This window comes from Homo sapiens, chromosome 10, assembly GCF_000001405.40.
Source record: "Homo sapiens chromosome 10, GRCh38.p14 Primary Assembly".
In the NCBI taxonomy this organism is placed as follows: domain Eukaryota; kingdom Metazoa; phylum Chordata; class Mammalia; order Primates; family Hominidae; genus Homo; species Homo sapiens.
Window position 1 is genome coordinate 54,556,844 of NC_000010.11, and position 23,796 is coordinate 54,580,639.

Consider the following 23,796-nt stretch of genomic DNA (forward strand, 5'->3'; position numbering starts at 1 on the left):
GTAGGGGTGTGTCTCTGTGTGCCCTGGGAGTGGCAGGGTTGGGGTTGGGGGTGGGAGGAGTAGGAGGCTGTGTGATTTAAAATTAATTATTTGGCCTTCCTAATTATCTTAGATCTTTTTACCAATTTGTGCATGATCAATTTGGACAAGCCATTGGTGTTTTGACTTTACTTTATCAGAATCTTTAAAGACTATTCATCTTTAAAGTTATCCATAAATTTTTCATAGACTCAGTGGCAAAAGGCTACTCACCTTGTCTAAGGGCAACAGCCAGACTAGTGGGTAATTACAGTGGGTAATCTTCTGATGTTTCTGCATTATATTCTCTACTCTTCACCTAATTACCTCTGAATGTCACCAAAACTGTACAGTAAATTTTAATCACACAAGGAAGGTATTTTGGACAATGATAAGTCTTTGGGTAGATTCTAAAGACCAGTGTTAGGTTTGCAAAACAAAAGTCTATTGGGTGTGGCCAACAAATTATACCAAAAAATTGTTATCTTTGTAAATTTAGACACTATACTTTCAGAATGGTGCCTAATATTACTCATGGATGATTTGGGCACATTTCCCCCTCAAACCCTAGAAAAAGAGAACTCTAGATAATTTCATTCAAGAAAGAGAAAAACAGGGCCTCATTTTGAGATATACAACATTACTCATGTCTAATTCTGAATAGTTTTCTCCTGTCTTTAAATCATACTATCTGTGCTTCAGATATTATCAGGAACACTGAACAATTTCAGTGAGGCCATAGAAATCATCACCTGGAGATTTCATAATACTGAGGAGGTGGTACTTCTTCAAAACATAGCAGTACGAGAAATAATATTGGCCTGTCAGGATGAAACATGAGGCATTTTACAGGAGGAAAGTTTACTCATATTCCTATAGTTCTTTCTGTTTTTATTTTATTAAGAAAATATGGGAAATTTTTTAAAAATTACAAGACAAGGTGATAAATCTAGTATTCCCACATCTGACCATTAAAACTTTTTGGTTTGGTCATGGGTTCCATTGTATTGCTTTAATTTAGGCATTTTTGGCTCTTGGCTTAGAATGTAAAATACTTCTGTTAGTATCTGTCTGTGATTCAGCATTCAAATATCAGGTTTTCATAATCAAAAATATTTCTATGTAGCCACTCTGATATGACAATAAATGATCATGCAGCCAAAACAAAAACAAACAAACAAACAAACATAAAAACCTAATGTATATGATAGTTGAAATGATCCCACCAGAAATCTGATATGCAATCAGGACCCTGAAGACAGTGGTATTGATTTTGATTGATTATTTGTGCAGATGATTATTATTTATCCTCCAGCTTAGGTTGAAAAATGACTACAAGAGAGTTCTGAGAAATAAGAAACCACCTATGTTAACAAAACTTTTTATTGTTTGCTTCAAAAATATTTTCTATGAAAGGATAAAATCATAAGCCAACTAATTTTATTATTTTCTTCAGGAAATTTCCACAGATCAATTTATTAGAGACAACACTCTGCTCATCTGAATAAATAATTTATCAAACAACAGTTTACTTATTGAGGCTGCTTGTTTCCACATGCATCTCGCTCTGCCCACCAGTCTTAAATTACTATATCATAAACTCTGTATAATCTCAGTTAATTCCATACCTTAAATGACTCAGTTTAAATCACTTTACCACAATCCCCACACACGTTAAGTACCTCAGTTTTGACTTCCCTCTTCTGAAACATTGCTATATCATTGTCAAGGTGATGTTTACTCTTACCTATTGTAGTAACTTCTATAACATTTAAATTTTATTACTACATTATCATTCTTGGACTAAACAGTTAAATTGTAGTTATTGTTCTTTCTTCTATTACTATTAATACTACTATTTTGGTATTTCTCCATCATTTACTGTTGTGGGAAAATGTGAGAAATATGACTGTATATATTTTATTTTATTCACCCAAACTAGAATATTTGTCTCTTTTATACCTCTCCAAAGACCCCACTTCTATTTTTAAAAATTAGTTGATATACTATTTTGTATACATGTTTGTTTCTATCTGCTTATTTAGTTTACATGTTTCCTTTTATTCTTTACCATCTAAGTACTCAATTCAAATAAGATACAGAGATAAGGTCAGTTTCTGATAGCCAAAGAATAGCAATAGGTTTGGCACAAGAATTGCGCAGGTTCCTCATGAATTTGACTCTAAGAAATTGTGAAATCTCGGGGAAGACACACGAAGGCCTCTGCATCCCAGTTTTCCCTTATCTCACTTTTCTCTTCTCTTTTCTTTTATCATATGTATGCTATGTGAGAATTACAATAATTAAAATATGTAACATATGAGAATTAAAATATATAATAAGGATAGAGCTTACTACAACACCTAGCACATCCTAAGTGCTCAATAATAATCCTTATTACTTTGTAATGCTCCTGTGAGTCTGAAAAATAATGTATTTAAGGCTCCTAGTAGATACTCTTTTAACAGGAACTACTAATCTTGTTATTGATATTAATATAGCTTGGCTATATTAATCCAGGTGGATCAACATCCTCTGTATAAATGAAACCACCTATTTACAAGGTATTCCACAATAATTCAATGTTGCATCTTCAGCAAGAACAAGCCATAGGTCTGAAAATGTAAGTGCAAGGCATTGAGTATGCATTTGTGTATGTGGTCTGATTATTGCTCTGAAGATAAACAACTACTGAGACCATATATTCTGAATCCTCTTACAGGAATACAGTATATGATTGAATTTTTTTTCTATCTACAGCTTGCAATGACTAAAAAAATGTTGGTTTGTTCCCACAATAAATTCCCTCCAAGACCACAAATGAGAAATACCACTTTACATGTGCATACCTTAATGATGACCTCTTCTTGAAAACAAAACAAGCATGCTTTAGACAGAATTAGCTTCTCACTGTAGAGATGACTGGCTTAAATGAGAATTCTGTCTTTGCTCTAATAAGTTTATTTGACATCTTGGTTTGTCTTATAGTAAAAAAAAAAAAAAAAAAAAAAAAGAAAAGAAAAGGTGGTTTGCTCCCTTTCCCCATGGTGTTAAATTAATTCCATGAGCAGTTTTGTTACTCTACACAATAATACAGTGTGTCCCCTTATTTATGTCATAATGTGTCATAATGTCTATTGGGAAAAGAGATCAATTTATGTAACTCAATTTGTTGTCTTTAAAGGAGTTTAACATTGTATTTGAGCTGGACATTGGTTGCCTTGAGCTTTGAGAATTTAGGCTGATTCATCATGTGAACCTGTTGTAGAAATGACCTTCTCTAGGCTTCTGCTTTAGTTTTTACATGAATGGTCCTAATGTCCGCCTATAGAAGATTTTGTGCACATGATGACCTTAGGGTTAATCTACATCGGGAAACACTTAAATTACCATAATAATGTTCTCTCGAAATTCTTAAGTATGATTAATGTTGGTTATGTATCGGCCTAGATAGAGATTTCTAAAAGTGAGTGTTCCTGAGTGCTTTGGATGATACTTTGTAAGCATATAGACATGAAACTATTTAAAATCATTGCATAATGTTGCAATATATCAAATTATTTTCCTCTTGACGTATATTTAGATTGTTTTTTGTCACTCATTAAAAGAATGCTACAAGGAGTTTTTTTTATGTACAACACTTTGTGACCATATAAAGGCAGTTGCCTAGATTTGGAATTTGTATATAAAAAATATAGATACACACTTTTGTTAAAAGCTTAAAATTTGCCCTTTCAAAAGAATGTACATATTTAATTTTTCAATAATCATGTATAAAGGTGTCAGCTGTATTTTCATAAGTTTAAATGAAAATAACTGCTTGCGTTATAGATTTTTCTTTTTTATGTTATAAAATAAAACTTGCTCTAATTTATGGGTAGAAAGAATATGCCTTACAAATTTAATTAAAAGTTTTAAATGTTAGGATATAATGAAAATCACCCCATTCTTTTTTATTTCCGAAACAAGAAAGGGATGTTAAGTTTTTCAAAATTGATTCACATGAGCTAACATTAAAACCATTGGATGGGTTGTGTTTGTGTCCTTGCCAGTTAGTAACTTTATTATAAAATCTCTAAATCTATTACCTTCTGTAAAATGATTTTGAATAAGCATCTGTGTAAAAATTGTTTTCTTTTTCACTGGATTAGAAACTCTGTTAATGTGAACACAGTAAATGAACTTAAAGAAATAGTCAAGAGTAAGAAAATATGAGAAAATAACTTTTAAAAATAAGTTGGCAAGTCAAGTTCTATGGAAAAATTAAAAGACGCTTAAACATCTTAAGTAAAATTTCAACATGCCTGTTACGACACATCCCCAGGAAGTTTATTTTCATAATATTTGATGTGATTTTAAGGTCATCATTTAAGAGAAAATAAAAAAGGTCATGAAAGGGATTTTCCACATGAGGGCTTCCAATTGAAAATATTTACATATAAAATGTTAATTGTAGAAATACAATCCAATAATGAACAAAGTTCAAAAGTGAGTAAACCCTGAAGCAAGACAAGGCAAGATATGTAATATCTATCAATAAAACTAAAACATTTTCAAACATTTGGTGGGAAAGACTATCTTAGTTAATCAGGGACTTCTGGCTTAAGGAAAGAAAGCAACTTGTCAGATTTAATCAAATTCATGGGAATCAATAGAATTGTTTTCTTTTGTTGGTTTTCCCAGATATATGTACCAATCAGCAGTGGTGATAACTTAGATGAAAGGAATTGGTGGAAGGAGAAAGGTCTCTTCAAAATAGGATATTATCTCACTTCCTAGGTTTCATAATCTCTAATAAAGCACTCCTAATTTAAATTGAAAAACATCACTGTTTATTTCATGCAATAAATTAAATCAAAATATATAACTGGTTTGATATTTGTTTCCAAGTATTTGTCAGTCTTTAGTCAACAATTCATTAAAATGAAAAAAACCTTAATTCTGATTTACAAAATGAAAACTATCAATGGTAATTATTATTATTATTATTATTTCTATTTTTAGTAGCGACAGGGTTTCACCATGTCAGCCAGGATGGTTTCGATCTCCTGACCTCATTATCTGCCCACCTTGGCCTCCCAAAGTGCTGGGATTACAGGCATGAGCCACCGCACCCAGCTTTTTTTTTTTTTTTTTTTTTTTTTCCTGAGATTGTATCTCCCTCTATTGCCCAGGCTGGAATGCAGTGGTGTGATCTTGGTTCACTGCAACCTCTGCCTCCCAAGTTCAAGGGATTCTCCTGCCTCAACCTCCCAAGTAGCTGTGAATACAGGCGCCTACCACCACACCCAGCTAATTTTTGTGTTTTTAGTAGAAATGAGGTTTCACCATGTTTGCCAGGCTGGTCTCAAACTCTTGACCTCAAGTGATTCACCTGCCTTGGACTCCCAAAGTGCTGGGATTACAGGCATGAGCCACTGTGCCTGGCCTATCAATGGTAATACCTTATTGTAGTATGTAAGGATTGTATAATTCTATTGGATCTTGAAAGGTTGGTAAGAAATCACTGAAATGAGTAAGAATGGAATTCAGTAACTCAATATTGATATCAAGAAATTAGAAGAGAAAACAATACATTGTGCATAATGAAGCCAAAGATAAGTTAATTATTCCTTTTATGAAAGGTCTCTCATGGCATACAAAGTCATGTGATACACAGTAGCACACCTCATCTCTTACATATGAAATTAACTAGGAAAGTGTGTTTTTCAAAATGGGCATGAAGACATTAGTTTCACAACATACTTATATATAATACCTAGATATACATACATGTAACATATACAAGTATACATAGCACATGCTTCATATATATGTACATATATGAAATCTCACTCTCAGTCTCTCTCTCTTGATATACAGACAGAAAGACAGAGAGGTAGAGTTTCATGTATAGAGAGCTATATATTATAACTCTTTATATATAGCACGGAATGATTGAAACCAAATCATTTCAGGTCCAAAAACATACAAGTAAGGGCCCCTTTTGTCAGTTTAGTTAGGTCAATATTATACCCACCTCTCTATTTGAACTTGTCTACATGAACTGTCTCTATGAATTTCAGTAAAGTGGTAACATGAACTCTAATGTTTGTTGGACTTAACCTTTTAGGAGCAATACGGAACACTATTAAATGTTTATTTACTCATGTATAGGAGATAAAAGATAGTGAATTCTTAGCAGGCTTCAAACTAACTTTTGAGCTTGAAGGTACTTATCAAAACTTATAAATGATAAAGGAAATAAAAAAAGTGCTATCAAGGTGGATTTTTAAAACAATTTACATTTTGCTTATCATTTTGATCTTCCTCTTATGATCTATACATTTGAAAAATAAATACGTCTATATTATTGCCCAGGTTTTGAAATAAGCCCAGTTACTAATAATGCCACAAGCTAAGACTGAGTCTACTGTTACCATAAAGCCAGATTAGCAATCCAAGGGCCTGGGGAACTTCCGCTTTTTTAGCGCTTTTCCTCTGGTGGGTTTGTTCTTGCATTTGAACAAAGCTATGGGTTTACATGAGTAATTGCCTAAGTATCTGGACTTGCCGGGTATCACTGACAACAGGCCCAAATTATAATTAACTCAAAGTACCGTGTTAACTTTTTCAGCCAAAAATACATAGACCATAAGATATTAGGCTTTCTGGAAGAGTCTAAGTTATTGGCTCTGGCAGCAAAAGAGTAACATATTAACTGAAGAGTAAAGACAAAGCTTCAGACAAAGGTTCTCTATAAATAATTGTGTCAAGATGTCATTACATCAGTGGAATGTAGCTCAATTAACAATATCTTTTAAAGGACATCACCTTGCCCTACCAAGAGAAGGTAGCTGTTAAATTGTGGCTCCAGCTTGAGGTTTGATAATGTGGCAGCTATAGGATCCATTTCCTGTTCTAGTTGTGTATATTGTGGTAATAAGAAAAGCAACAGAGCCCCACCATAACCAAATACTTTTAAAAATACAACCTTACCCTAAGAAATTAAGTAAAAACAAATCTTATTCCTCTGGTCAGTGTTGAAGAAAAAAACAAACATTCGACTTCGACTGGTTGCCTCACAGGGGGAGAAAAATAATAGTGCATAAAAGCAAAGCAAAACAAACAAAAAACCTTAGTGAGCCTAGCTGACTTGTTCTCAAGAACACAGAGGAACATGGAGGAGAGGCAAGGCTGTTGCCTAGTTCTAAATTAATTAATTATAAAGAATTACCCCCAATTAAACACTAACTCACTGCACTTTTTTTGTAGATTCCTTGTTTTTCCCCCCCACATCATACTGAATCCACCAAAATTATCATCAAAATTTTAAAGCTTGATAAATTATTTTGTCTATCCACTTCAAATGATTATACATCAGACAAGATCCCTAACGACATATCAGAATGAATTACATATCTGGATATGAAAGAACTAGGATGTCTAATTTAAGGCAAAGGTGGAGTTTGCAATATTTTAGTGAGAGGATTGAGAAGTATGGCTAAATAGGAATTAAAGTCAGCATAATCCTTACATTAACGGAATTTTATTAAAATTGTACCATGTTATGAGTAGCAGAAAGTATTTGGAAAGCTGTTTCCATGTTTACCTTTAGTGTAGTAGATAAAGGCTATCTCAAATAAAATGTTCAGTCTAAAATGACGGCACATTTTTTCTTACAATGATTAATTTTAGAAAAATCTATAATCCAATTTACTGCTTGAATTTACATGGTTGCATATAAATGATGTGACTCCTGGTGTGAATTAGGTGGCAAATTAGAAAAGGGCTTTTTATTTTTATTGTTTTTTAGTGAGAAAGCAGGTATCAATATAACTCAGAGAAATATTCCCTACATCTTAGAGTGAGATTAATAAATATGTCTTTGTTATCAATAAAATGGGAATATAATTCTATCTCTTTGTATTGTTATAAAGATTAAGTTGAAAAAATTATGGGAAGTCCATAGTATAAAACTGAGTACCCTCAAAAAATTACTCTACAAATTATTGTTTATTTCTATATTATTTTATCATGTATCAATACATATTACATTTTCAAAAATATAAAAATACCTCATTCTTGGAAAAAAATGAACATTTAAGAGAGACAATATGTCACTTTCTCTTCAGCAATGTCAAGAGAAAGGAAATTTTAAACAGAAAACTGCAGATGTCTATTCCTGTAACACAAGTGGATGCATTGATCTAGCAAAATGAGATGAACCCAAACCATTATAAGCAATAAACTCACTTCATTCACTTGGATTCTAATCACATCTTTAGAATTGAAATTTGGCTTCCAACTTCCATGTTCCTACAAGGAGAAAATGTACCACCTAATATTCAAACATTCCAACACCTTTCCTTTGTCAATTATATTTCTTTTATTATAAATCAACAAATTTGCATGTTGTCACATAGTTGTCTTGCATGGGTTTGGTTACTGTGATCCCTTCTCCTGACTCCAATCACATCCAGCTATGGAGACAAATATAAATTTCTTGATCTGTGAATCAACCTCTGGTCCTTGATTTCCCCAGACAAGTATTTCTACCCACTGAGGCCTGACCTTAACAGCCAGCCAGTCTCTTTAGACAGCAATTATAGCCAGTCTGTTTCTAACTATTGCACTGTATTTATAGGTTGAAACTTTTTAAGTAGAAACTAGATATCAACAGGGCTGCCTAGGGTATTTCTGAATGATGAAGACAATGAGGATGATGATGATGTCAACAATGGGAGAGAAAATTGTCTGGAAAGAGCATGCTGTTACTTTCTGGAATTATGAAAATATTTTATTCCTTGTTTGGGGTGGTATTTACCTAGCTGTTTGCAATTGTGAAAACTCATGAAATTAAAAACTTAATTTCTCGTGTTTTCTTTTATGCAGATTATATCTCAATATGTTCAGGCAGTAGAAATAACTATGAGATTTCTTCTTCTTAAATAAAATGGAAGGCCAGGCGCGGTGGCTCATGCCTGTAATCCCAGCACTTTGGGAGGCCAAGGCAGGTGGATCACTTGAGGTTGGGAGTTTGAGACCAGCCTGACCAACCTGGAGAAACCCCATCTCTACTAAAAGTACAAAATTAGCCAGGTGTGGTGATGCATGCCTGTAATCCCAGCTACTTGGGAGGCTGAGGCAGTAGAATCGTTTGAAACTGGGAAGCGGAGTTTGCAGCGAGCTGAGATCGTGCCATTTCACTCCAGCCTGGGCAACAAGAGTGAAATTTCATCTCAATAAATAAATACATACATACATACATAAAATGGATTGTGAAGATTTGAATATGGACTATTCAATTTGTGGTATAATTTTTTGTCATATTTGAAGAATTTTCTTCACAGAGAAGCTTTAGGTTTACAAAAAAAATGGGAGGAAGGTATAGATATTTTCCATATACTCCTGTCCCCACCCATGCATAACTTGTATTATCAGCATCCCCCACCAACGTGGTACACTTGTTACAGTTGATGAAACTTCATTTACACATCATTATCACTCAAATACTAGTTTATATTAGGGTTTATTCTTTGTGTTTTACACTCTGTGGCTTTGACTAAATGTATAATGAGATGTTTCTATCATTATAGTATCATACAGACTTATTTTCACTGACCAAAAAATCCTCTGTTCTCTGCCGATTCATTTTTCCCTGACCACAACCCCCTGACAATCACTGGTGTTTTCACTTTCTCTATAGTTCTGCCTTTCACAGAATGTCAAATAGGTGAAATCATAGCGTATACAGCCTTGTCATATTGCCTTTTTCCATTTGGTATTTTGAATTTACAGTTTGTTCATGTCTTTTCAAGGCTTGATAGTACACTTACTTTTAGCACTGAATAATAGTCCATTGTCTGAAGGTACCACAGTTTATTTATCCATTCACTTACTGTAGACCCTCTTGGTTGTTCCCTCCCAAGTTTTGAAAATTGTGAATAAAGATGCTGTAAACATCTATGTGCAGATGGATGTTTTCAGCTTCTTTGGGTAAATACCAAGGAGAATGACCGCTGGATTTTATAGTAAAAGCATCTTTAGTTTTGTAAGAAACTTTCAGATTGTCTTCCAAAGGCACTGTGTCATTTTGCAGTCCCCAGCAATGGATGGGACTTCTTCTTGCTCCACATGTTCAACAGCATTTGGTGTCATCAGGGTTTAGAATTTTGGTCATTCTAATAGGTGTGTAGTGTTATCTCATTATTATTTAAATTTATATCCCCTTGATAACATCTGATGTGGGACATCTTTTCATGTGCTTATTTGCTCTCTGTATATCTTCTTTGGTTAGGTGACTGTTACGGTTTTTGGCCCATTTTTAAAATGAGTGGTTTGTTTTCTTATTGTTAACTTTTAACAGATCTTTGTATATTTTGCATAGCAGTCCTTAATCAGATGTGTCTTTTGTGAGTATTTTCTCCCAGTTTGTAGCTTGTCTTCTCATTCATTTGACACTGTCTTTCTCAGGGAAGAAGTTTTTAATTTCAATGAAGGTCAGATTATCAATCTTTAAATGAATCCTACTTTTGATGTTGTATCCAAAAAGTCATTGCCATACTCAAGGTCACCTAAGTATAATTGTTTTTAATAGAAATCATATTTTTGAAAAAGAAATATAGTTAAATTATATCATTTCACATTTTTTATCAATGCTTTTAGCTCTTCCAAACCATTATGAAATAGTTGTATTTTTATTGTGTTATAAAATCAAATCATAATTAAGCTTTTCAAATGCAAAGCTAAAAAATGAAATAGCATAACCTTTTGAATCGAATTGAATAGTTCAAGATCTCTATGCTCTATGTTCAAGCATTATGTTAAAACTGCTGTCTTACTATCTACAGAATTTTCTAATTAGCCTAAAGAGATTTTTATAATTTACCTATAAATATATTTTGAGAGGGAGTGATAATAAAATCAAAATAGGTCAAGATATCCAAGTAACTTTATTGAGATGTCAAGTGGCATCCAGCAGAAGGTGAAGAAGTCACAGAGTTACATCATAGAAGGCCTTCCTGCTGTGCTATTTCCTTCAACAGAAAAAGAAGCTTTCATCCTCTAAGGCTTCCAGCATCTGCTGAAACTACTTTGAGTAATTCAATCTTGTAAAAATTATTTCTGCTACGTATACTTATCTAACACATAAGTATACTTATAAAAAAATAAAACCTTGGGCCCACTTGAGAAACTAAATTATATTTAGTAAGGAGATCAATTTTGCACACCTTGGCTTATTGTGCTCTATTTAAAAACATATTTTCAAAACGTAGCTCTTTTTTTTCCCTGTCATACACTTGGCTTCAGTCATTTTGCTGTAATTAAACATGATAAGTACTTCCCCATGTTAGTAAGGCCTGTGAATTTCCTTCTGCTTGAAATGGCTCATCTTCCAGATGCCTACATGGCACAAGGCCTCCTTTAGTTCCTGTCTCTACTCATGCACTGCATCACTTTCTCCAAGAAATCTACTTCACCACTGTCTAAAATAGCCCACCACGCATTCCCTCACATCTTATCCCCTCCCTTTTTGTACATAATACATATCACTACCTGATATATTACATCTTCATTTGTTTATTCAAAAAATGGACTTTGTAGACTTTTAAAAAACTGTAAAATATAGTCTTCAACAAATAGTATGCTTTGTTTCTATTTTATTGTGGTATAATTTACATTCAGTGAATTGCACTGATCTTAAATATTACTGTTCAACAGTTTTGATGAATGGCTACACCAGTGAAACCTGCTATACTGAGAGGACAAAGAGCACATATACTTCTCTTCCCCAACCACTATCTACCCCACCCTTTCCATAAAGGAATACAGGTAGCCTGATTTATTTCACTATTGTTTACCTGTTACAGAACTTCATATAAATGAAATAATACAGTATATCAAGTTTATGCTACATGTATATTATCTAATGGTACCTTTTTCTATTTTAAATATATAGAATAGCAAATATGAGAATATTTTTAAACTCATCATCATCATTCTAAATTGTAAACTCAATCATCAATAAAAATTAAGATCTTAGTAAACCTCACAAACCATTTTGTAAAAAATTTTTGATTGCCATTTTGTAGTCTGTAATATATGATTTATTTTTGAAATGTGGGAAACAGATTCAAAACCTAGTTTCAAGGAATAATCTATAAAAATTGCTCTAATATAATTTTAAATTATTTATTTTGGAACAATCATAATGTTTTCAGAGACCATAGAATTTTAGCACAATATCCTGATATTTAAAAAATAAAAGAAAAAAAGCAAAACCCAAGAAATTAAAAAACTACATATGCTAATACAGAGTCAATATATACTTGGATAGTTTGTTATTACTATTGAACTTTTTATAAAATTAAAGTATATATATGAAAACAGAGAATTTACTAAAAACTATACTGTGAAGAAAATATGTAAAGCAATATTCTTGCACAATAGGCCATTCAATTATCGGTGGGTTTTAATCTCATTTTTTATTTGATCATGCTTATTGCTTAATGGTCATAGAAATGTTCCTTTATCAATTTTCATGGGAAAGTTTTGCAGCAGAGAAGTTCCCTAGAATCAACATGTCTTAGATGTTTGTAAAATAAGTGATTTCTTTTTCCAAAATGTTAAAATCATTAGTACACAAAAGTCATTACTACGTTAATTTATTTTAAAGTGTTCCATTTCAGTAAGCAGGTATTAAGGAAGTTGGTGTTGGGATAAGATAATTGTGCCAAAGTAAATTCTTAATGGAGTTCATAAGAGAGGAAATACAGTAACTGTTCTACTCCAAGGTTGGCTTTGGGGGATTTTTCAAACCAACTTAAAAGTCTTGGATGTTATATCTGACTGGAAATTATTTCTACTCCCTGAGAATGAACAACATGCTGGCAACAGTGAAATAAGGAAGCTTGAAAAAGGGAATGAGTTATTCTATGAAACAGTCTGTCCTATACATCAAGATTCTTTTAGTTTCTCACTCAAGACTTTAAGATACACAAAAATCTTGCCGCAAGATTTCTCGTAGGTGGTGTGACCTCAGTATACGTTGAAGTCAGAGATTACATTGGGTTCTAACAACTCAGGGTTTTTAGATAAGATCTAAAGTTAAAAGCTATAAATCAGACCTCTAGAGGAGGGCTACATTGGTCCAAATTTTCATGAGGAATAGACTCTCTTTGCCAATACAATTAGGGGTGTGTGTGTGTGTGTGTCTGTGTGTGTGTGTGTTTGTGTGAATGCGTTTATCTCACTGTCTCGGGAGTATGTAATTGTGTGATAGGTGGAAATTCATAAGGAGAATGGATCAACTACAAGTGGTCATGGGTAGTGCCATGTGGAACCATACTGGAGCCTAAGGCAAAAGGAAAGTGTCTGGCTATATACGTGACTTCCTGTGCTTTTTAATGGTTATTTTTCTCAGAACACAAAAATAGTTTTAAAAAATAATGAAAACCTGGAAAGTAGAGTATTGAAACATACAATCTAGTTTTTAGGTTTAAATATCTCATTTATACCTAAACCTGAATATATTATAATATTTTCAAAATGTACTCTTTTGCTTACTCATTTTTAATTGAGAGAATTGCTATGTTTGACAATTTCTCTTGACAAATGTCTTGATTAACTTTTACTTAATTTCAACTTACTGATCCTTTCTTTTAGATTTTGATAAACTATTTCTTGTGGGATTTTCACATTGGATTTCTATTTTTTAAATATTGCATTGGAATATATTTATTCTATTATTAAGTTGTGTTGGCATTCCTTAAATTCTGCACCCGAAGAAAGTGCTTCACTTGTGTCCATTTTTTTTCCTTTCTTTTTTGAGATGGAGTCTCTCTCTGTTGCCAGGCTGGAGTGCAGTGGCGTGATCTCCTCTCACTGCAACCTCGGCCTCCAGGATTCAAGCAATTCTCCTGCCTCAGCCTCCTGAGTAGCTGGGATGCAGGCATGTGCCACCACGCCTGGCTATTTTTTTTTTTCTTTTTTTTTTGTATTTTTAGTAGAGACGGAGTTTCACCCTGTTGCTCAGGCTGGTCTTGAGCTCCTGGCCTCACGATTCACCTGCCTCCGCCTCCCAAAGTGCTGGGATTACAGGTGTGAGCCACTGTGCCCGGCCTCACTTGCATCATTCTAGTTGCAGCCCTGATGATGAATTCTTAGGTTTGACCTTGGATTGTGTGTATCCAAAGTGAGGCAAAAGCCACCAGAAATGAGATCAAAGAACTGAGAGCCCAATGCCCTAAAACAGACTTTCCATGTAGACAGCAAATGCACAACGATTATAAGAGGAACTGATGTAGAGTGGAGGGCCTCGAGCCAGAAATTTGAACGAGGAGAAACTACTGGCAAGACAGGAGATGCAAGCAACAACAAAGTTTTGGGGTACCTGGGGCTTAAAAGAGCAGAGATCTTGGCAAATGAGAAGATACCAGTCCCACCCTCTTGCTCTGAGGTGCTGAAGTACGAGACAATAGACAAAATTTGAAAAAAAAAAAAAAAAAAAAAAAAAGCTGCAAAGAAATGGTTTCCTGGAGGAAAGCATGAATGTCTTAAATATAATGGGCTTTCTGTTCAGTATTTCAGTATCTGGTAAATCTCATCATTAGAAGCAATGCAGAAAATTAATATATTACCTTCACAATACCCTCATTAGAACACAATTATAACAACCGAAAAGGCAATGTACTAACCCATGAGGACTCACTTAACTCATTACAATGGTTTAGTGAGCTATATTGAGCTTAAAACATATGCTGGAATGGAAATAAAAAAATGAAAACCCTGAAAAATAAGCTCTTCAGAGGTTTAGAAATGAAATGGGAGTGATGAATAGCTAGGAGCAAGGACATGGGAGTATACATGGTGCCAAGAGAGAAGGTATCATTTTACTAAACACATACTTCACCTTTTTCACATTTCATCTAATTTTAGCAGCTTAAAAAAAGCTTTTGTTTTTAGCTTAGACAGAAACTCTTAGGCTTTGGACCCATGTTCCAATTCTATACATCAAAAATTGTGAAAATTTCTAGAGGGAATGATGGCAGGACTTCTCAGAAGGTTGGAAAATGGAGGGTGTGAGTTGAAGAACAGTGGTTAATGACAAAAATTGTAGATGAGGTCCACCTGATCACAAATCATTTCTAAAACCATATTTGGGGATTTGGATAATTTATTTGCACTCCTAAACCTCTGTTTCTTCATCAATAACTGGGCATAATGATACTACTCAGGTTTCTTATGAGAATTAGATGACGAAATACCGTGTTTGTCATGTAGGAAGGTATAATAAATTTTACACCTGCCTACATGACATATATGGTATAATTAATTTATAATTAATAACTTGACTTTTATAACTAATTTACTGACAATTACTTATTGAGTACCTGCTATGTGTTAGGGTAAAGCAATTCAAGAACCTAACTGAACTCCTGATATTTGTGGCTTTTACATTCTAGCAGGTGTGCCATAATGAGTGATATTATTTATAACATCAAACGCTAGGAGAATCACAAAGAGCTGACTCCACCTTGAGTTTGCCTTCTAGAAACAGAAAAATAGCATGAATCCTAATTTTCACAAAGTAGATGAAGATATTCAATTTGATACTTTAAGAACTTTCCAAATGAACTAATTTGAAAGGAAAACGAAAAGAGAGGATTGAAAGAATTGTCATTCCCTGTTCAAATATTTAATCTTGTCAAGTTCTCTTTAAATTTGAGTGGAGGCAAATTCCTGAAGATCAAGCACCTGGCCTATGAAAATGTATTAAATATGTTTTGATGATAATTTCAGTGATCATAGAAGGCATTTCCAAATGGAATCCATTACACTGCTTCAAGTATTATTACAATGAGTTCTAGTTCTTTCACTAGGTTAATAGATTAATAAGTTTTATTATCTTGCTTGTAGAAAGCATTGAAAATTCCCAAGGAAGAAAAAATAAGTTCAAACAAGTAACCAGAAAAATAAAAGAGAAAAAGGATAATTCACTTCTCTATTGTAATTTATGTGTTTCTTGTATGTGGGATTAGACCCAGCAAAGCTAAAAGAGGCAACTAAAAGCTCAGCCCCAGTGCTAATTTTGTATCCTTGAGGAAATCACATACCCTTTCAAGTTTTAATTATTCATCTGCAAATCCAAGATTATAAAATGACCTCATATTCTAGTTGACAATGTTTTTATATCAATATTTTATTTCTTTACTTTTTCCTCATACTGTGCCTTGCTTCTCCTTTATATGTAAAGTTTACATATCAATTTATACATGCGTATATATAATTTTTCTATCAATTTCAGGAGTGGATAAAGGATGTCTTTGACCCAAATTCTTGCCAAATCTCCTTCCAAGAGAAGTATTGCCTATTATACTCCAAATGTACAATACCATAGCATTAGTTTAGTAAAAAACAATATGTCTTGTTTCTCCTTTATTTTTCTTGATGTTTTCATAATTTTAATAAAAAACACTTAACCAAAGTGCTGAGGCTGTGTTTACAATAAGGTATTTTTAAATTTTATCTCTCCTCTACCAACACATACACATAAATTTAGGAGGAAAATAAGATTAGGTAGCATCAATTTGGTGCTAATGAAAATGAAACCAGCATTGATATTTTCTAAATCTAATAATGCATGCATTTTGAATAGTTTTCTTTGACTCATTTCCCCTGAAGGTGAATTCAGATTCTTTAGGCATTTTCCCAAAAATAATTTTTAACTCTCTGCCTTGTAGTGAAATTTTCCAAATTGAAAAGCCATGTAGAATACACTGCGAACAATTTTACAGCCTTCATTAATATATAAGTCAATGTCTAGGTCACAGCTTCTATTAGGTAGCCTTATCTTTATCGATAGTTTTCCCCAACTTCAGATTCTGGTAATTGCATGACTTACCCTACCCTCTCTGTGTTTAAATCCTAGATTAAAGGAGGAAAACAGCGTCCTGTGAACACTAGCCTCAGGTGCTGACAGCATCATCCTTTGTAGCAGTCCCTGCACCTTATCCTTACTTAGTAAATAATCCTTTATTTAAAAAAAATTTGTTTGAGTTCATTGTAGATTCTGGATATTAGCCCTTTGTCAGATGAGTAGGTTGTGAAAATTTTCTCCCATTGTGTAGGTTGCCTGTTCACTCTGATGGTAGTTTCTTTTGCTTTGCAGAAGCTCTTTAGTTTAATTAGATCTCATTTGTCAATTTTGTCTTTTGTTGCCATTGCTTTTGGTGTTTTAGACATGAAGTCCTTGCCCATGCCTATGTCCTGAATGGTAATGCCTAGGTTTTCTTCTAGGGTTTTTATGGTTTTAGGTCTAACGTTTAAGTCTTTAATCCATCTTGAATTAATTTTTGTATAAGGTGTAAGGAAGGGATCCAGTTTCAGCTTTCTACATATGGCTAGCCAGTTTTCCCAGCACCATTTATTAAATAGGGAATCCCTTCCCCATTGCTTGTTTTTCTCAGGTTTGTCAAAGATCAGATAGTTGTAGATATGTGGCGTTATTTCTGAGGGCTCTGTTCTGTTCCATTGATCTATATCTCTGTTTTGGTACCGGTACCATGCTGTTTTGGTTACTGTAGCCTTGTATTATAGTTTGAAGTCAGGTAGTGTGATGCCTCCAGCTTTGTTCTTTTGGCTTAGGACATGAACAGACACTTCTCAAAAGAAGACATTTATGCAGCCAAAAAACACGTGAAAAAATGCTCATCATCACTGGCCATCAGAGAAATGCAAATCAAAACCACAATGAGATACCATCTCACACCATTTAGAATGGCAATCATTAAAAAGTCAGGAAACTACAGGTGCTGGAGAGGATGTGGAGAAATAGGAACACTTTTACACTGTTGGTGGGACTGTAAACTAGTTCAACCATTGTGGAAGTCAGTGTGGCGATTCCTCAGGGGTCTAGAACTAGAAATACCATTTGACTCAGCCATCCCATTACTGGGTATATACCCAAAGGACTATAAATCATGCTGCTATAAAGACACATGCACACGTATGTTTATTGCGGCATTATTCACAATAGCAAAGACTTGGAACCAACCCAAATGTCCAACAATGATAGACTGGATTAAGAAACTGTGGCACATATACACCATGGAATACTATGCAGCCATAAAAAATGATGAGTTCATGTCCTTTGTAGGGACATGGATGATATTGGAAAACATCATTCTCAGTAAACTATCGCAAGAACAAAAAACCAAGCACCACATATTCTCACTCATAGGTGGGAATTGAACAATGAGATCACATGCACACAGGAAAGGGAATATCACACTCTGGGGACTGTTGTGGGGTGGGGGGAGGGGGGAGGGATAGCATTGGGAGATATACCTAATGCTAGATGACGAGTTAGTGGGTGCAGTGCACCAGCATGGCACGTGTATACATATGTAACTAACCTGCACAATGTACACATGTACCCTAAAACTTAAAGTATAATAAAAAAAAAAACTGAAATTGGCCTGTTTTATTATTTCTCGTCAGTTCTTTGATTTAATAAACCAGATAAAATCTCATTATAACTAATTCCTAATATTAGCCAAGTTATTTTATTAAAAATAACTAAGACAGAAAAAAATTGGCTTCAATATTTGGTTATAATTTTAGAATATGAGATTACAAAGAAATTGTATTGTACTCATGATGTTGGTAGCAGGGTTTAACAATATATCTTGGGAAATAAAATATTTCCATCTATATCAGAATGATATCTAGATGCTTGTGTTTCTCTTAATCTTTTAAAGCTTCTTTTTAAATGTCTTGTTCTACTGGGCTTACTCTACAGTGCAGGTAGATATATTGAAAATTCCTAATTTTTCAATATATGAAAGAAAAAAGCAAAGAAAAGAAATATCAGAACAAAACAGGTATTTAGTAATAAACAAGTCAACTGCTTTCTTAAAACTAGAGTTGTAAATTAGTTCTCAGACACTTCCACATAAGAGTCACATGACACTTACTAATTTTAACAGAAGGCTAGCCCTGAAGCAGTGACACATGTTTTTGTGCCATATTTAATTCCACACAACATTGATTTTAATGGGAATTGCTAGGGAGTAACTACAGTTTTGCCCATGGTCATCAAAGTCACTACAACATGTCTTCAGGAACTATATAGTCAATTCATCGCCCTGGCCAATGGCCAATTTGTAAGTTAGATACATATCTTTTACCTTGTTATTAAACAAACAAACAAACAAACAAACAAGCTCTATTCTTCTAAGTGAGTTGGTTACATTTAAATTATCATTTATCTATGTATGTACGTATGTATCCATCTATCTATCTATCTACCTACCTATCTATCTATATCTTTTGCTGATGTAGAACTGCTGCTTTTCCAGTTGTATCCAAGTAAAGTTCCATATCAATGCAATGATCCCTTTTGTACAGTTATTAAGTATAAGTTTTCTATAAAAATTAGCATTGGATATGTAGACTACTCATGTAGTTAGCGATTTAAGTTAAGACCAGACTTGGAGAAATAAATATTAAGTCAGAATGAAAATCACTGATCAGCTGACATCCTCCTTTAAAAGTGAGAATATTTCCCACAGAATACTAATCATTTAAAGACAACTTGCTGTAAATGAAAGACAAAGATGAATAAAGCCAAACACTGGTATGCTGCAGGGCAAGATCTTTGTATATATTCTATCCGGTATTTGTTTTTGAAAATTATCTTTATTCATGTCATGAAATTATCAAAGAAAAGAGTGATAAAGGATCTCTGGGTTATGACAGCACTTCTCCTGCGATTTTTTTAAATGTAAGGAATTCAGTCAGACTCAGTCAGTCTAAAAAGATGCAAATTCTTGGGAATTGTATCCAGATCAGATAAAACGTTGGACACTGGTTAACACAGTATGGTCCACGTCACTGACTCTCACAGTTACAGTGTAGTAATACATCAGATTATTTGCCAAAAATGTCCAGTGATGTTTGTTCCATTAGTACTCAAAGTAAAAGAGTGCATCTATTCTCTCAAGTAATATTGAATGTACAGTGTGTTTCAGACATTTGTGAAAAAAATACATTGGTAGTTCCGCTCTTGAGGAGTACGCAATCTGTTAAAGACCACCAAGTTATTTTTTTTTACTGGAAGTCTTTATGCAAAGATAGAGAAAAATGTCTACATTGATGGCTGAACACCTAGGGGATTGAGGTGTAGTGAAGATAAAAGAAGAGCACAGAATGTATACCTGAAAGACCTGAAGAAAATTTTAATTTCTTTTTTTTTTTTGAGACAGTCTCACTCTGTCCCCAGGCTGGAGTGCAGTGACGCGATCTCGGCTCACTGCAACCTCTGCCTACTGGGTTCAAGTGATTCTCCTGCCTCAGCCCCCTGAGTAGCAGGGACTATAGGCGTGCACCACCACGCCCAGCTAATTTTTTTTTTTTTTTGTAATTTTTAGTAGAGACGGGGTTTCACCATATTGGCCAGGATAGTCTCGATCTCCTGACCTTACAATACACCCGCCTCGGCCTCCCAAAGTGCTGGGATTACAGGCGTGAGCCACCGCTCCCGGCTGAAAATTTTAATTTCTTGACCCATATTCTTCAGTTCCCTCTAAACTATGCTTTCAAGAATAATGTAAATGCAAGTTAAAAATGTAGTGTCCAACTGTTCTCACATTAAGAAATCAGGGTTACATTTGGTGAGAATACAAAAAAGGAAAAAAAAATAAGTCAAGATTAATTGATCATATTAATTTCATGGTATCACTCCACGAAAATCCAGAATAATTAAATTAAAAACAAAAGTTCAAGGCAAAGCATTGCTACAAAAATTTCTTATAATAATTAATTTACTGGTTATGCCCCTTACAGGAGTCAGGAAACAGGTTAGATTCCTTACCCAGTGTGCCCACTAATAGTCCCTTTATAAAACCATCTCCTGGAGGCACTAGTCCTCCCTCAGAAGAACAGTAGGTGAAGGAGTTCTCTGGTTTCTGGCCTTGAGGCCAGTTCCTGTTTAAGCCTAAATAAATGAATAAATAAATAAATAAATAAATAAATAAATAAATAAATAAATATTCCTCTTCCAAGAGGCATCTGGCAGTTCCCCTTATCCCTGATGAGTCCTTCTTAAGACCATGTCGAATTAAGTTAAATGAATCGAAAGTAAATTAGGATTAAATTGTATAACATTGATTCATACATTGCCTTGGATGATTTATATACATTTGGAAAGTTTAATACTTTATCACAATGGTTAAGTTTTAATGCAAAATAAAATTATCTATGTAGTGTTTTAAAATGTTGATTAGCCTACTCCTTAGCCTTTTTGAAGTACTTTTTAAATTTCTGGTGTAAATTCTGGCATGTAGTTCTTTAAAAAAATCCTGCAGGAAGTTTTTGTGCCTTTCAAAGTTTGAGGGCCCCTAATCTTGGGCATACAAATCAGTCTTTCTTCTGATTAATGTGGCATTGTCCATCATTTTTATAAATATGAGTCTCAAACCCTTGATTGATAAAGAAAATGCTCATTATAACATTGTGACATTTGGAAAAATTTAATATTTTGTATTTTTAATATAAATTAATTCTTTCAGAACTATTAACCTTATAGGAAAACACTAGAGAGAATGATTTTAGCAGATTTTTGTAAGAACTCATCTCCTAAGGTTTAAGAAATACCTACATGGTTTAAAATAGTAATTATAAACATAGTAATTTTAAAATAAGATACTATTTTGTTTAGGTCTTCCAAGTCAGTTAGCTGGTGTCAGTTTTATGGTCAGAATGACAAAAATATATAATAAAAATGTGCAGCTCATTTAGCTGTTGAAGGCTAATGAACAATTAAAGCATTCCATAAGAACTTAATCTCACCCATTTTTTAGTCCTATTTAAATCTGCTCCTCCTTTCCACAAAGTTCGAATGGCATAAATTATTTAAGTCATATACAAAGGGAACCCAATCAGGCTGGCAGAAGACTTCTCAGTAGAAATCTTGCAAGCCAGAAGGGATTAGGGGCTTATTTTCAACACTCTAAAAGAACTTAAACTAATAATTTCATATTCCTCCAAACTTAGCTTTGTAAGGAAGGGATAAATAAAGTATTTTCTAGACAAGCAACTGACAAGGGAATTTGTAATCACTAGACCAGCTTTACAAGGCAACCTCAGCGGAGTCCTAAACATGGAAAAAAAGGACAATTTCTGCCACCACGAGAACACAATTAAATACATAGTCTGCAGACCCTATAAAGCAACCATATAATAGAAACTACAAAGCAACCAGCTAGCAATTTCACAATGGGATCAAAACCTCACATATAAATATTAACCTTGAATTTACATGGTCCAAACACCCCACTTAGAAGGCACAGACTTGCAAGTTGTATAAAACACAAAGACTCATCCATCTGCTGTCTTCAAGAGACAGAACTCCCATGTAACAACACCCATAGTTCAAGGTAAAGGGTTGGAGAAAGATGTATCATGCAAATGAAAAACAAAAAAGAACAACAGTCACTTGTGTTAGATAAGACAGAATTTAAACCAATAATAATAAAAAAGGATAAAGAATGTCATTAAATAATGACAAAGGGTTCAACTCAACAAGTAGACTTAACTATCTTAAATATGCACACACTCAATATTGGAGCACCCAATTCATAAAACAAATACTTCAAAACCTATAAAAAGACTTAGGCACAAAACAATAATGGGAGACCTCAACACATCAATGACAGCATTAGAGAGATCATCAATGCAAAATAACAAAATAATCCTGGACTTAAATTTGACACTTCACCAGTTGGACCTAGTAGACGTTACAGAGCACTCTACCCATCAACCACAGAATATACATTCCTCTCATCTGCACACAGAACATACTCTAAGGGTGACCACATGCTCAGCCATAAAGCAAGTCTCAATAAACACAAAAAATTAAAATCATATCAACCATACTCTTGAACCACAGTAGATTAAAACCAGAAACCAATACTAAGAACATCTCCCAAAACCACACAATGACATGCAAATTAAACAACTTGCTCCTGAAGGACTTTCAGATAAACAACGATATTAAGGAAATTTATAAAATTATTTAAAATGAAGACACACAACATTTCAAAATCTCTGAGATGCAGCCTATACAATGTTAAGAGGAACATTTACAGCACTAAGTGTCTACATCAAGAAGTTAGAAAGATCTCAAATTAATGATCTAACATTACACCTATGGGAACCGGAGGAAAAGGAACAATCTAAACCTAAAGCTAATGAGAGGAAAGAAATAACTAAAATCAGAGCAGAACTGAATGAAGTAGAGACCCAATAATCCATACAAAAGATCAACAAGACCAAAAGTTGGGACTTTGAAAGCATAAACAAGAGAGATAAACCTCCAGCTAGATGAACAAAACAAAAAAGAGAAGATCCAAATAAGCCCATTCAGAAACAAGGATGACATTACAGCCAAACACATGGAAACCGAAAAGATCCTGAGAATATTATGAACACTGGATGCACACGAACTAAAAAATCTAGAGGAAATTGATACATTCATGAAAACATACAACCTCCCCAAATTGAATCACAAAGAAATTGCAACTCTGAACAAATGAATCAGTCATAAAAAACCCTATGAATCAACTAATGTCCCTGACCAGGTGGACATAATTCACAGCCAAATTATAGCAGAAATACAAAGAAGTCCTACTACCAATTCTACTGACACTATTACAAAAAATTAAGGAGGAACTCCTCTGTAACTCATTCTATGAAGCCAGCATCACCCTGATACCAAAACCTGGCAGATAAACA

At 33.9% G+C, this 23,796-nt stretch overlaps 1 protein-coding gene and 1 long non-coding RNA gene across 21 annotated transcripts in view; one reads left to right on the forward strand and one right to left on the reverse strand.

Annotated features, from left to right (window-relative positions):
* The window catches only part of PCDH15 (protocadherin related 15), a 1,825,172-nt gene that overhangs the window by 754,073 nt on the left and 1,047,303 nt on the right, over positions 1-23,796 (reverse strand). The gene's annotated exons all lie outside the window — the stretch shown is intronic.
* LOC105378311 (uncharacterized) overlaps positions 1-23,796 on the forward strand; it is a 169,822-nt gene that overhangs the window by 70,614 nt on the left and 75,412 nt on the right. The window contains exon 2 of the long non-coding RNA NR_134503.1: positions 11,722-11,832. This is a non-coding gene — a long non-coding RNA (uncharacterized LOC105378311). The remainder of the gene's footprint in view (positions 1-11,721; positions 11,833-23,796) is intronic.